This window comes from Homo sapiens, chromosome 10 (genome assembly GCF_000001405.40).
Source record: "Homo sapiens chromosome 10, GRCh38.p14 Primary Assembly".
Taxonomy (NCBI): Eukaryota; Metazoa; Chordata; class Mammalia; order Primates; family Hominidae; genus Homo; species Homo sapiens.
This window is the reverse complement of record NC_000010.11, coordinates 75,472,134-75,487,998: the sequence shown is the minus strand read 5'-3', so window position 1 is coordinate 75,487,998 and position 15,865 is coordinate 75,472,134. Positions and strand designations below refer to the sequence as shown.

Genomic DNA, 15,865 nt, shown 5'->3' with positions numbered 1-15,865 from the left:
ATCATGTGCTGCCAACAGAGAAATTAGTCTGTGCCAAACTCAGCACAATCCTGCAGTTCAAACCAGAATTTCAAAAATAGCAGAAGTAGCTCAAACCCTCAGAGTGACCCATGCCCCATCTCTACCAGTCCACTCAGGATGCTCCATTCTCAGGGCCTGCATGGAGCGATGACTCCCCAGCTAACAAAGCCTGCTCTTCCAAGAGCTTGGCCGACCCTGCAAAGCCCAGACCACTCACACACTCAGCACTTGGACACTGAGAGTGCTTGCATGAGACAGCACTGGCTTGTGGAGAGTTGTGGTCACAGCTCCATAAACCTACCACTTATAATCTCAGTAGCTACTGCGCTGCCTGCTATTCTGCCCAGAACGCTGGGTCCTAGCTGTAAGAGAATAGGAAGGAGGGGTGGGAGGAGAAACTGTGACCAAGATTGTACTTAAAAACCTCCCACACCTCCCACACATCCCAAACACGAAACCATGATTTCATCAGCACATGTAGCATTTGGCTTGGGTGTGTGAAATACCAGCTTTTGAGTGATGGAGCACTCACCCCTATTTCAGACATACCTTTTCTCTGAAACTATTACACTCAGAGAGCTTCAAGTCCTGGCTCCAGACCCATCCATCTAACAACAGAAAGCACCTCTCAAGCTCCTTTCTGACATGAGCCCATCATTCACCATTTGCTGGTACATACAGTTTTTGCTGACAAAGCTCAATTACTAGAAAAAGCTCAGTAAGTAAAGCTGATTTGAAATAACTATATATTATATGGAGGCTGGATGAGGAAAACTGATTTGAAGTCTAGAAAATCATCATATAAAGAGGCTCGAGAAAGAACTGCTTAATTATTTAAATACCTTCACTTCCTACCAACCACACATCATTTGATTTATCAACAGTGTTAAATATTTGGTAATTTACTGGGGTCATCTGACAAAACAACTCCATATAGCAAGTACATATCAGACACTGTAATTCTTCTGTTGAAATCCCTTCGTCTCCCTGATTAATGTTCAAAAACTGAGCTAATGCTATCAAACTGAGGTGCGTGCCAATTTCAGCTCTCCAGTAAAAGTGCAAAGCTGAGAGCACACCAGCAGGGTGGCCTGAAGAACAAATTATCACGTGCTATCCTCCACTGCTGCAAAGTAGTCTGATGAGATGGCTGGGATGGTCCCAACAAAGATGCTTATGCAGAGTCAACTGAATGGAGACAACTGGCCCCATGGGACCCTGACTCAACTGCTACAGCCATCATAGAGAGAAAGCCCAAGGAGGAGGGTGTGTGCCTTCTCCCCAGCATGCCAGACTCACCCTAGGCCCAACTTTGCTCATGTTGCCCCCCCCAGACCAGAATGCCCCTTTACAAATTCTCTAGCTCCTAACATCTACTTGCTCTTCAAGACTCATCTCCTGCATAAAGCTTTCCTTCCTCATCCCACCTCAAAATGCTCTCTCAGTCAACTCCTATGCACTACCAGCATTTTGTGGAGCAAGATCAAATTGTCTCCTTAATACATTCAAGGTGAAATTTACGTCCTCTATATAGAATCTGGAGTTCTTAGCATAATAATGAATAACAATGCCTCTGTAAGCACTGGGCCATGTTAAGTCAAGCGGATCAAAAACAAGAACTACAAGAAGTGTAATATCAATTCATCAGGATATCTGATAGATTTTGAATGCTATAGTGTGAAAATAAAGATACAATTTTTTAAGTGCCTATTTATAAAACTTGACCATCTACTAAGTAATAAAAAATACCTAAATTCCAATAAGTAGAAATAATGTATATATAGATCACATTCTCTGATCACATTTCACAGAAATTTGAAAACACTCTCTTCAACAACTTTTATGCAAAGAGAAAATTAAAATCAAAATCCCAAAATACCTAGAACACAAAAAATGCAAACACTGTGTATTAGAACCCATAAGACACAAAGCAGTACTCAGAGGAAAACTCACAGCTTTAAATACGCACAGTTCTAAGCAAGAAAGAGTTAAAATGCTTAAATGAAGTGAGCAGCTCAAAATCAAAAAATAAAAATAAACAAGGAAAGCAAAGAATTGGTAGAGATAAAAACAATAATTAATAAGAAATTATAAAATAGCAGCTGGGCACAGTGGCTCACATCTGTAACCCCAGCACTTTGGGATGCCAAGGCAGGCAGATCACTTGAGGTCAGGTGTTTGAGACCGGCTTAGCCAACTCAGCAAAACACTGTCTCCACTAAACATACAAAAATTAGCTAGGCATGGTGGCACATGCCTGTAATCCCAGCTACTCAGGAGGCTCAGGCAGGAGAATCGCTTGAACCCGGGAGGCGGAGGTTGCGGTGCACTGAGATCGCTGCACTCCAGCCTGGGCAACAGAGTGAGACTCCATCTCAAAATATGTATATATATATACACACACACACACAAAATTAGCTGGGCATGGTGGCACACACCTGTAGTGCCAGCTGCTCAGGAGGCTGAGGAACAAGAATCACTTAAGCTCTGAAGGTGGAGGTTGCAGTAAGCTGAGATCACGTCACTGCACTCTAGCCTGGGTGACAGAGTAAGACTCTGTCTCAAAAAAGAAAAAGAAAATAGTGCTAAAAATAAATCCAGGCATCATTAAAATAATAATCAACTACTAAACCAAAAATCAAGGAAAAGAGCAGAAAGTATAGTCAAAATAAGGATGTGACTGTATATAGAACCCCAGATACAGAATAAATTAAAAGACATCAAAAAGATGTTTTTTCTCAACTTTATTGCAATATATTTGAAAACCTGGATAAACTGGATGTTATCCAGCAAAATATAAATCATCAAAACTAAGTCCAGAAAATACTAAAAGTTTAAATAAACCAAGTGCTATAGCAGATATTGATAAAGTTAACAGAGATAACTAACAAATGCCTGGCCCCAAGTATTTTACAGGTAAGTTTTACCTATTCCTTCAAAGAATGGATAACAAATTCTATCTGAACTGTTTGTTCTAGAACATAGGAAAATATTTTAAATAGTTTTACCTTTCTATACTTACAAATGTAAGTATAACATTGTATTAGTCTGCTCTGGCTGCCATAACAAAAGATCACAGACTAGGTTGCTTACACAAGAGAAACTTATTTTCTCACAATTCTAGAGGCTAGAGTTCCAAGATCAAGGTGCCATCAGGGTTGGCTTCCAGTGAGGCCTCTTTTCCTGGATTGTAGACGGCCACCTTCTTGCTGTGTCTCACACAGCCTCTTCTCTGTGCATATGAGGAGAGACAGAGCTCTCTGGTGTCTCTTCCTCTTCTCATAAGGACACTAGTCCTATTGGATTAAGGCCCCACCCTTGTGACCTCATTTAACCTTAATTACCTTCCTAAAGGCCTCATCTCCAAATATAGTCACATTGGCAATTAGGGCTTCAACAAATGGATTTTGGGTGAGAAACAATTCAGTCCATAATAAACACAGAACAAATCCTGAAAAATGCAGCACAGTAAAAGAAAACTCCTGCCAATTGCTCTTATGAAAACCAATGCAAAAATCTTAAAATTTTAGCAAATAGAACCTAGATAACCATTAAATATATTAAATATTATATCACACTTCATAGAAATTTTAAAACCCTCTTTTCACAGCTAAGTAGTGATATCACTACTAAGGGGGGGTTTTTAAGAGGATTTATAAGTACCTCAATATTAAGAAATCTAATATTGTTTATCATATTAGTAGGTTAGAAAATCTGGGAAGGGCCAGGTGCAGTAGCACATGTCTGTAATCCCAGCACTTTGAGAGGCCAAGATGGGAAGACTGCTTGAGCCCAGGAGTTTGAGACTAGCCTGGGCAACACAGCAAAATCTCATCTCTACAAAAAATACAAAAATTAGCCAGGTGTGGTGGCCCATGCCTGTAGTCCCAGCTACTTGGGAGGCTGAAGTGGGAGGATTGCTTAAGCCCATGAAGCAGAGGTTGCAGCGAGCCATGGTCAAGCCACTGTACTCCAGCTTGGGTGACAAAGTGAGATCCTGTCTCAGAAAAAAGGGTGGCAGTGGGGAGGACCACATGGTCATGTCCATAAATGCCAAAAAAGCCCTGAAGTTAAAGTAATACTACCTGAAAAATCATTAAAAAAAAAAAACCTCTCCATACTAGCCAATGCAATTACAGAAGGAAAAAAAATGAGAAGCATAAAAATTAGAAAGAAGCAAAATGATTTTTTTCATATGATACAATTATACGCTCCCAAATCCCAGGAGAATTGAAAAACTTTTAGAGAAGAGACAGTAGTAAGGTGGCTTATTATAAAATTAGTAATTTAAAAATCCAAGTTTTACTCTTTATTTGATTTTCATTCATTCCATTTCATTCAATTAACTAGGACTTACAAGCCCTTTTATTTTTGCAAAGCACGTTTCACAATGCTATGAAGTAGGTATTAATCCTGTTTTATTGGTGCAGAAAATAAAGGTCAAGAAGGTCAAATCACTTTTCATGGTCACAGAGCTAGTAAATATGTGTCCTTTGACTCCAAGCCCTATATTACTTCCCTATAACAAGATATCTTTTCCCTCTCAAGACAGAGATATTAAATTCTATGGGTATTTTTGTCAACTCAGCCAAAATTAACTCCTAAACCAACAGCAGATCTTAAAGGCTTGATCTCTGTTTCTAATGTAGAAATTATCTATGAAAATGTACCTATTTGTTCATGGGGAAAATGATGAATGTCATACACAGCAATCTATATAAAGAAATGATGGGTGGGGTGTGGTGGCTCACACCTATAATTCCAGCACTTTAGGAGGCTGAGGCGGGTGGATTGCCTGAGCTCAGGAGTTCAAGACCAGCCTGGGTAACGTGGTAAAACCCCATCTCTACTAACTAAAATAAAAAATTAGCCAGGTGTGGTGGTGCACACCTACAGTCCCAGCTACTCAGGAGGCTGAGGCACAAGAATCACTTGAGCCTGGGAGGTGATGGTTGCAGTAAGCTGAGATGGTGCCACTGCACTCCAGCTTGGGCTACAGAGTGAGACTCTGTCTCAAAAAAAAAAAGAAGGAAAGGAAAGGAAAGGTTAACTAAGCTGAAAATGTGATTAACATATTTTTGCTTCGAGATTGCAAATGGAATATGTTTTCCCCATGATTCACACCACTCTATTGCAAACAACATTTTATCAAAATTTCTTTTGTAAATTACAGAAAACATGCATTTCTAAAAAGCTATCATATTTGTTTCAGGTCAGTGAAGTATTATAATTGAACTTAAAATGTATCCTTATACCCCTGGCAGTGGGCTGATTTCGCCAGAACCAGTAAACTCCTACGATAGGGACATAGTTGAGCTGACACAGACTCTACTCAGTCACTTAACAATTATGTGCTGCACATCTACCATGGGTCAGACCCTGTGCAGGAAGCCAGGAAATACGCGCACAGTAACAGACCTGGGCGTACCTTCACAGAACTTAAAATTTAGTTGAGAAGACAGACATAAATAACATCAATATATATAAAACTGCAACTATAGTGGCTATTGAATCAGCCATCTACTGCCAAGATGATTCTGCCTAACAAGCTACACCAAAATTCAGTGGTTTAAAATAACAATCATTTATTCTCCTATATCTGCAAATCGGCTACAACTTGGCTAGGCTAGGTGAAACCCAGGTTGCAGACTGCAGGGCAGGCTTAGGTCTGCTCCACGTGAGTTCATGGTGAGGTCCAGTCTCAGAGCAGGCAATGGCAGAAGCTCAAGAAGGCCAAACAGAAGATGCAATTCTAAGGTCTAGCTCAGAACTGGTATGCTCTTCCCTCCACCTATGCTTCCCTGGCCTGAGCAAGTTCCGTGACCATGCCTAACATCAGTGGTCAGGAGTATACACTCTGAGGGAGGCACTACAAAGCCACATGGCAAAGGGCACAGATACAGGGAGGGAGAATAACTAGGAACATAACAGAATCTGCCACAGCCATAAAAGAGAGGTGCGTGATGTTATGAGAACACCTAACGGAGAGATTTGGTCATGTGAGGAAGGTCAGAAAAGACTTCCCTAAGAAAGTGTAGCTGAAACTGAAATCTGAAAGACAAGTAGGAATGAAGCAGGTGGAAAGGTGGGGGTAAGAGACTTCCAAGCAAAGAGAACAGCATGTGCATAAGTCCCCATGGGAAAAGGAGACATGACCAGCTCAAGGCATTTAAGAAAGAATGGTGTGGCTGGGCAGAGAGAGGGAGAATGTGGTACAAGATGAAGAGAGATAAGGAAGCAGAACCATGTCAAAGAGTTTGCCTTCATCCTAACAGCATAAAACCATTAAAAGATGCCGAGCAAGAAAATCGCATAATCAGATTTGCCTCTCCAAAAGATCTCTCTCTGAGGAATAGAGGATGCGTGAGTGGACCTCTTAAGAGGTTACTGCAAAAGTCCAGGTGACAGATGACGATGGCTTGGACTAACATGGTTGTTGATGAAGATGAAGAGAACTAAAAGTGTTTAGAGGACATTATGTGGACAGAAAAGCCCACCATTCTATCAAATCTTTCTTCCCAAGGTCACTACCTACCTCCCTACCGCTAAATCTGATGGCTATTCCAAGAGCTCATCCTGTTTTTCCTCTTTGCAGCATGTGACCTTAATGAACACTTCCTCCTCTTTAAATTGCTCTTTCCCCAGCCTCTGGCAAAGCACAAATCTGCTGGTTTCCCTCTACTCTCCAGTTGCTCATCCTCAGTTCATTCCTTCAATCCTCACATTCACCCTATAATCTCTTCTCACGCTAAACTGCCCCACCCAACCCCAAGCAAATTCATCCACTCTCCACTCCCATGCCCTCAAAACCTCATTATTCTGATTCCTTCTGAGACTTCACTCTCAACCCTAGAGCTATATATCTACTGTGTCCTGGACATTTCCACATGGATGGCCCAAAGGCACCTCAAACCCGATGAGTCCTAAATGCAATTCATCTGCCCCTCATCCCCTCCATCCTGAAAACCCTGTTCCTCCCCAGCTTCCCCTTCACACAGATGGCCTCCATCTTTGATGCAGTTGTTCCAACAAAAAACCCAAGAGTCAGCTGTGACTCCTCCCATGCCTCACCCCTCCACATCCACTCAACACAAATACCATCAAAACCACCTCTAAAATCCCCTCAGGTTCATCTACTCTCCTTCCACACTCCACTGCTCCAATGCAGGCCTCTGCCTTGTCTTGGAAGACTCTACAACCTCCTAACTCATCTGCTAACCTGCACCCGCAGCCCATTCTCTCCACAACAACCACAGTGATCTTTCTAAAGTACAAACATGACTGTGCCACTCTCCTAAAACCCTTGAAAATGGCAAGCCCTTAGCCTATGAATAAAGTCCAGATGCCTTAACAAATGGTTTACAAGTCCCTTTGTGATCTGGCCTCTGCCTTCCCTGTTTGTGTCCCTTGAATACACTTGTTCATTGTCTGTTGTGTTCCCTCTGCCTGAATCACTCTTCAGCTCCCAAGGCCACCTTACTTGGCCAACTCTCCTCACTAAAATACAAGCTTTATGAGGACAGACATGCCGCCTGCTTTTTCACTGCTGTTTCCCAGTGACTACCCAGTACCTGTTTGTGTCCCTTGAATACACTCGTTCTGCCTGAGATCTGGACATCGTCTGTTGTGTTCCCTCTGCCTGAAACACTCTTCAGCTCCCAAGGCCACCTTACTTGGCCAACTCTCCTCACTAAAATACAAGCTTTATGAGGACAGAGATGCTGCCTGCTTTTTCACTGCTGTTTCCCAGTGACTACCCAGTACATGTTTGTGTCCCTTGAATACACTCATTCTGCCTGAGATCTGGACATCGTCTGTTGTGTTCCCTCTGCCTGAAACACTCTTCAGCTCCCAAGGCCACCTTACTTGGCCAACTCTCCTCACTAAAATACAAGCTTTATGAGGACAGAGATGCTGCCTGCTTTTTCACTGCTGTTTCCCAGTGACTACCCAGTACATGTTTGTGTCCCTTGAATACACTCGTTCTGCCTGAGATCTGGACATCGTCTGTTGTGTTCCCTCTGCCTGAAACACTCTTCAGCTCCCAAGGCCACCTTACTTGGCCAATTCTCCTCACTAAAATACAAGCTTTATGAGGACAGAGATGCTGCCTGCTTTTTCACTGCTGTTTCCCAGTGACTACCCAGTACATGTTTGTGTCCCTTGAATACACTCGTTCTGCCTGAGATCTGGACATCGTCTGTTGTGTTCCCTCTGCCTGAAACACTCTTCAGCTCCCAAGGCCACCTTACTTGGCCAACTCTCCTCACTAAAATACAAGCTTTATGAGGACAGAGATGCTGCCTGCTTTTTCACTGCTGTTTCCCAGTGACTACTCAGTACATGCACAATGGCTCTATAAAGTGAGTGAGTAAATGAATGAATGAATGAATGAGTGGCTCCTTCAGGATGCCTCTTCCTGATGCCCTTCCTTCCTCCCAAGGTTGCGTGTACTTTTTTTTTTTTTTTTTTAGACAGAGTCTCACTCTGTTGCCCAGGCTGGAGTACAGTGGTGCGATCTCAGCTCACTGCAAGCTCTGCCTCCCAGGTTCATGCCATTATCCTGCCTCAGCCTCCCAAGTAGCTGGGACTACAGGCGCCTGTGACCACGCCCGGCTAATTTTTTGTATTTTTAGTACAGGCGGGGTTTCACCGTGTTATGTAGGATGGTCTCAATCTCCTGACCTCGTGATCCACCCGCCTCGGCCTCCCAAAGTGCTGGGATTACAGGTGTGAGCCACCACACCAAGCCGGTTGGGTGTACTTTTCAGGTGTTCTCAGAGCAGCCTAAGCTTTCCCTAAGCGTCACCTCACTATACACTTGGCCGCAACCTCCCAATCCACTTACTAAAATGTAAGCTCTGTGAAGGCAGGAACATTTTCTGTTGCAGGAAGGAGCCCTGGGAGCTGGAGGAAACCAGAAATGGCCCTGCCTTGAAGGAGATCCCTGAAGGCAAGGAAGCCAAGAGAGAGATTAAATGAAGCCAAGAAAGAAGCTGGGGGTGCAGGTCCAGATACAATTAACTACATACAAGTTCCCAGGGTACACAGAGGATGTACATGGCAGGGCGGGGAGTGAGGTCAGCAGTCAAGGAGTAGTGCAAAGATCAGACTGAAGTCAGGCATTGAGACAAGAGAGCTCCATTTCTAACTCACCATCACTGTTACACAGAGATACTCTTTTAGGCAGGTTCACACAGGTGGGACAATATCTCCATACCTTGTAAAAATGCACCAATTTCCACGGAAATCCTTATGTATTATTGAAAAAAATGGTCTTTTTGGAGACTTTTGCCCATTGCCATTTCATTTCAAGGGGACAGACTGCATTTAAATTAAACCTGAGGTGTATGTGAATGCCTTTTATAATGGACAGAATTTCATTAAAATCAGTCAACTTCCTCCAAAGTTATTAAAGAACAGCCTTTTAAATGCAAAATACTAAGTACTTACATTGAAACAGAAAGCTTAATTCAGTCAAATATAGTAAGGTGACCAGGGACAAGGCAAAGCAACTGTAGAGGTGAACCCAAGCAAAATCAAATATTGAAACTAAAGAAGTTAAAAGATTGGAGATTCGCTGTTGACAGGCAAAAATATGGCCTACTTGGGTCTTCAATCTCTAGGCTATTAACAGCAGACAATGCAACATCAGTCACCAAGCCTGAACCAAGGACCTTTTGCCTGAGGTTAGGTTTCCAAAGCATCCACTCAGCACATTCAAACTCTTAAATATGATGTTCTCTTTGCTATTTTTCTCCACCTGACTTGGAGCAAGTTGTAATCTTGGGGGAGAGCTGCCTCCTCCCAAGGTGAATGCTGGTAGCTTGGAGCTGGTGATCAGCTGCACACAGGCTTAAAGGCCTCCTCCCAGGCCTGTGGTCCTTCAGAGCAATGGTCTAAATGAGGCACGGCTCAGAATCCAGAAAGGAGGCCTCAGCAGAGGCTGTGCCTCGGGGGCCACGGAAGCAGTGGCAGTGACACAGCTGCCTCTGCAGAAGAGGACAGGAGTCTCCTGTGCTGCAGCTGAAAGGGGCCATGTGGATAAGATAAGTAATTAGAAGAGGAATAGTAATTACCACAGATATGACAAGGAGGCCTGCATGACAGGGAGTTCTGTCAAAGCCCATAATTCTTGCAAATGAGCAGCAGTGCCTGGGTGACACAGTCCTCCCTCATGAATTATACAGATGGCCACACATGGTATACCCTGAGTGATGCTTAGCCCAAGGGGACTGCTTGTGGTGGGAACAGCAGGGCCCCAGAAGCCATACAAGCCTCGTGGGCCCCAGGGGCTATACAAGCCTTGTGTCCCCAAGAGGTGGAAGCAAAAATCCAGCCTTCATCACAGCAGTTGCGCCTGGGGACTTGGCTGTCATGGGGGCCTCCCAGAACATAAAAGGCAGCTAAGCAACCATGCACAGAGTTAAGGAGAAGTTCATGGAAACGTGACATTCAGAGTGAGCCTTGAACATGTAGGTGTTTGATTCAGAGTGAGCCTGGAACATGTAGGAGTTTGACAGGCAAAGGTAGAAATAAGGGCTTTCCTAGGGCAAGGGTATTACGGGCTGAATTGTACCCATCCCCCAAAAGAAATTTGTATGTTGCAGTTCTAACCCAGATTCTCAGAATGGGAGACAGGGTCTTTAAAGAGATAACTAAGTTAAAATGAGGTTATTAGGGTGGGCCCTAATCCAACATGACTGGTGTCTTCACAAGAAGAAGAGATTAGTGCTTTGGGAGGCCGAGGCGAGAGGACTGCTTGAGGCCAGGAGCTCAAGACCAACCTGGGCAACATAGCAAGACCCCATCTCTAAAAAAATTAGCTAGGTGATGGTATACACCTGTAGTCCTATCTACTTGGGAAGCTGAGGTGGGAGAATCACTGGGGCCCAAGAGTTCAAGGCAGCAGTGAGCTGTGTTGGCGCCACTGTACTCCAGCCTGAGAGATAGAAGGAGATCATGCCTCCAAAAAAAAAAAAGAGAGAGAGAAAAGAAGAGGAGGAGGAGGTGATCAGGACACAGATAGACACACAGAGGGAAGGCCATATAGAGACACAGTGAGAACACAGCCTTCTGCAAGCCAAGGAGAGAGGCCTCAGAAGAAATCAATTCTCCTGACACTTTCATCTTGGACTTTGAGCCTACAGAACTGTGAGAAAATAAATTTATGTTGTTTAAGCCACCAAGTCTGTGGTATTTTGTTACAGCAGCCCTAGAAAACTAATACAAGGGGTCCAGCATAAACAAACACCAAGAGCTGGGAAAACACAAGACACACTGAGTCAGTTCATGTGGCTGGAGCTCAGGTAAAGAGGAAGCTGAGCTAGAAAAGTCATCTGCTGGCTCCAAGGTTGGCCTAGATTCTACAGACACCAGTTTTGAGCAGGGAAGCAACTTGGATCAGACCGTGACTCTAGGCAATTCCTGCTTTGTTGGCAAGGTGTAGGAGATAGGGGCAGACATGGCGATCCTTAAGGGTGTGAGAACATGAACTCAGAGGTGAACCTAGGGCGTCAGGAGGATGGCTGCACCACTAACTGAGATAAAGGAGACAAGAACAAATTTAAGGAGGAATTAGATGGGCTGAGTCTGCAAACAGTTGGGGTAGGAGGGCAGGGCAGCATCCACCCCTGCCTCACGTCCTCTGGAGAACTGATGTTACTACACTCCCTCACAGAGCTTGGGGCCACACATGTGCAAAATATTTCTATTTAGGGCCCCAAGTTCACAAGCAATGATTTTTTAAAAAATTAACTTTACATGATGCCATAAAACCAATCAACTTAACCCTAGTGCAATTGTCTTGAAAGAGAAACCCAGTGAGAACAAGACTTGGATCACACCACTTTAAGTGCAGATTCCAGCAACTCCTGAAAGGCTTGGCCTCCAATTTCCATTCTGATGGGTCAGATTAGAGAATCTCCAGTGAAGCTGTCAGAACATTCTAATGTTTGCAAATTGTGAAAGTTCAAGCAAGAGTCAACCATGTGGGAAAGAAGGGAGGGCGGCTCTTAGAATGTTGTGGTCTTGGACCACTTAAGAAAAACAATCAAAAATCACTTTCAACACCCACGCCTTCTTTCGGAAGGAGAAAAACATTAAAAATCACTGCCTATTGGGGGGAAAAGTGGTATAAATCATTTTATTTCATGCTCCATCATTTACTCAGCACAAACTTCAGTGACACCTCCTGATTAGGTTTAATTTTAAGCCAGCAAGAACACCACATAATGTATTGTCAGAGAAAGTTCCATTTCTCTCCAAGCCTGATGGGTGACTATTGTAATGTAAAACCCTGGGATTTAAATAACACGAGAGGATTCTATTATAGGAGAAAGGTTTATATTTTGGAGTCTTTTTACTTCAAAGGAGCCTAGATACCAAACCATGAATTACCTGAAACAATGGGCTTCAACGATCAGCCCTTCACCGGTTTCTTTAGCAAAGACTACTTTACTTGACTAATGAGCAGGACTCAGTGATCCAATTATCTCTCGGAAGCAGTCCCAGGTTCTTGAAATCAACACACTGGTTAGGAAAATTGGAGCAGGGAGGAGGACAGGCTTACCCCCAAAACAGCCCCTGACTCCTGCACGACTCCTTCCTCACCCAGGCTCCTGGGTCCTCCCCGTCCATAAGGCATGGGCTCTAGCCACCCAACACCCATGCTAATCTCCAGGGACAGCCTCCCAAGAGGCCTCACAGGAGGACCATCTCCCCAGGAAACCCAGAAAGGAAGCAACTGGGACCAGAGGGAGAAAACTGAAGCACTATGGCCTCCTGGGTCTTCAGAATTCCACATGTGCCCAACCAGGGGTGCAGCATCAGGCCCCATCAGATGCTCATCTCCAGTGCTCTCCCAGGACCCCAGCAACAGCATGGGGCTCTTATGCTTATGTCCTCAGAGGAGACTAAGTGTTTCTCAAGAGAAACATTTGAACATGACTATGTGCAGGTGCTGGGCTATGGATAACTAGTTTCCACCTTCAATGAACACAGAGTATGGTGGGCAGACAGTGAAATACAGCAACACCGGCCCTGCAGTGAGATACACACCTTTAAAGAGACCAGCGCCAAGTGTTAGGGACAATTTCCCGTAGGAAATGACACTAGCAGGGGTCTTCAGGGTCACACCTCAAGGCCACATTTCTCAAATTCATCAAGTACTGTGTCACACACTCACATGCACACACGTCTTACAACCCACTGAAGGGGCCAGCCCCCAAGAAATAGGACACAATACAAACTGCACTGGTATTACAATGAGGGGTTCAGGATACATCCCACTCTGACTACCCTCCCAGATATAAAGCAAACTGCCTTGTACCAAAGTCACCTGACAGAGGGTCTGTTGTAGTAGCAAGTCTAACCTGTACTGCTAGGGTCTAGATGTTTGCGTCCCACCTTCCCTGAAATTCACATGTTGAATCCTCACCCTCGAGATGATGGTATCAGGAGGCAGAGCCTTTGGGAGATGATGAGGTCATAGGGGCAGAGTCTCATGAATGGATCCACAAACAGACCCCTTGCCCCTTCTGCCATGCTAAAGTGAGAAGACAGCCATCTATGAGAAACCAGACACTGAATCTGCCAGTCCCTTGATCTTGGACTTCCCAGCCTTCAGCACTGTGAGAAATAAGTTTCTGCTGTTCATAAGCCAGCCAGTCCATGGTATTTTGTTATAGCAGCCCAACTGAGACACATACACAAACAAGGCTGGTTTAAAGAGCAGGAAACACTCACTGCCTTACTTCTTTGTGACAGTTCATCCTGATACCAGGTATTCCTGCATTAATCACAGGAATCCTTGATTTCAGAAGAATTCTGGCTAAGAAATCATCTAACCATTAGAAGAGATAATAGTGGAGTGGGAGGAACAGTGTATGCAACTGCATGTTCTAGATGATATTACTTGGAACGCAATGCAAGGAGATGTTGTCTCACGTGGTCCACAAACCAGGCGTATCAGCATCACCTGGGAAGTTGTTAGAAATGCAAACTCTTGGACCTCACCCCAGACCTACCAAACTTGATACTCAATAGGATAGAGCCTAAGATGTTTTATTTCCAACAAACCCTTGGGTGATGTTGATGCCAGGGATGGGGCACAGACTGAGAACCACTGCTCTAGGGCAAAGTCACCTTGGTCCCTGGTGAGATGATGACCATGATCATGATGACACAAACAAGAGCAGCCACTAACACTTACTGAGCAGTTTCCATAAGTCAGACACTACACAGGCAGCCTACAAGCATCACCTCATTTAATCCTCACAACCAGCATGCCACAGATGAGGAAACTGAGCCACAGAAATGTTAAGGAGTTCACCCAGCATCATGGTAACAAACATCCATGGAGCTGAGATTTGAACCTGAGCAGTCTGCCTTTGGAGCCCACATTCCTAAGTGCACTTTCTGCAGATGCACCAACTCCACCTCCAAATGCAGGCTGCTGAGCCACTGCTGGGAGATTGCACCGCAAGACTGGCATGCAAGGCTCTGGGAGATCCTGATGTAGAGAAATCACTGAACTTCGGAAACGCATCACCTCCAGACACACTTATTTTGAGTAACACTTACTGTCATCTCTGTAGAGTACCCATCTCTATATTCCTTTAGCTCTTCAGCACCGCCCCCTGCTCCCACCACACAGCCCTTACCACCTCTGGAGCTTTCATCCTTGACTCTGTTATGACATGTTATGCTGGCCTCTGCAGTAAAGCTCCAGGTTTCCCCCCACTTTGGTATACACCTTTGATTGGGCCCCACTTTGATTTACATCCAATCTCATATCACTAGCCCAGAACTAGGTCATAGCAAAAGGAAAGAACTCCATAGCTTCCCAAAGCTTCCCAAACAATCTGGTGTCAAAACAGCTCTCTCTCCTGGTCCATCATGGGGGAAGAAGAGATGCAAACCTCTAGAACTGTTGCACAGACCAAACCCCATGCTAGGTAAACCTGATCTGACACTCAAAGCTAAAGGTGACCAACACGGCAGATCATGCCAATCTCCTTCTCATGCCAAAGCCCTCTGAACCCTGAATGCCTAAGCCCAGATCATTCAATTCTAAGATCTGGCCACGCCCACCCTCCTGCTTCCTGTTAGGACCTCAGCAAGAGAGGGAAACTGAAGAACAAAGACAAAGAACAGATGTAGGGCTTTGCTCTAGCTCAGGGCAAAAGGCAGCTTCAAGATGTTTCCCCTCCTCTCCATCTCTTGTCAATACCTGACCCTTGCCAAACTGCAGAGATCACTCTTTGAAATGAAAAGCATACACCATATACATGATGGACTAGATTTTTCTGTCCTGATTCAGCAGTGCACAGGAGGAATTTTCATCCCCATAAAGGAAACTGTCCAATAACGCAACTCAATAACCATTGAATGAGCAGCTACTATGTGCTCTCTATTTGCCCTGCACACTGATCATAAAAGGGAATGGATAAGAAGTTAAAGAAATTGTCCCTGCCATTTGGGAGTTCTGCCACTTACATGACACTCATTTCCTCTTGCCTGGGCTTGGGTAACTTTGAGCAAACAACTTAACCCCTCTTCTTGTAAGCAGGGGATAATGAATCCCACCTCAAATGGGTCGTTACGAGGATTAAATGAGACAAGAGCTGGACAGTGCCTGGTACATAATGGGCGCATAAATGGTAGGCCCTTCTGCCTCCTTCATTACCTGGTTTTGGGGAGACAGGAATTCATATGACAGTCTGCAATTTGGTGTCAAGTTGAAAAGGGTGGAGTTTCAGGGAGTTTGGGGCAAGGAGAAATCAACATTGGCAGAGGGACTGGAGGCTATAGATGTTGAGCTGATTTAAAAGCTGGACAGAAG

The 15,865-nt window shown here is 44.4% G+C and overlaps 1 protein-coding gene across 1 annotated transcript in view, besides 2 other annotated features; it reads right to left on the bottom strand.

Moving 5' to 3' along the window:
• The window catches only part of LRMDA (leucine rich melanocyte differentiation associated), a 1,128,545-nt gene that overhangs the window by 1,072,170 nt on the left and 40,510 nt on the right, over positions 1–15,865 (bottom strand). The gene's annotated exons all lie outside the window — the stretch shown is intronic.
• Positions 11,690–12,437: an enhancer, noted in NCBI's record as "OCT4-NANOG-H3K27ac hESC enhancer chr10:77235320-77236067 (GRCh37/hg19 assembly coordinates)". NCBI's record gives its function as "activates a minimal SCP1, AML or CMV promoter by ChIP-STARR-seq in naive H9 embryonic stem cells {active_cell/tissue: H9 hESC(naive)}" and the evidence as "EXISTENCE:reporter gene assay evidence [ECO:0000049][PMID:30033119]".
• Positions 12,438–13,186: an enhancer, noted in NCBI's record as "OCT4-NANOG-H3K27ac hESC enhancer chr10:77234571-77235319 (GRCh37/hg19 assembly coordinates)". NCBI's record gives its function as "activates a minimal SCP1, AML or CMV promoter by ChIP-STARR-seq in naive H9 embryonic stem cells {active_cell/tissue: H9 hESC(naive)}" and the evidence as "EXISTENCE:reporter gene assay evidence [ECO:0000049][PMID:30033119]".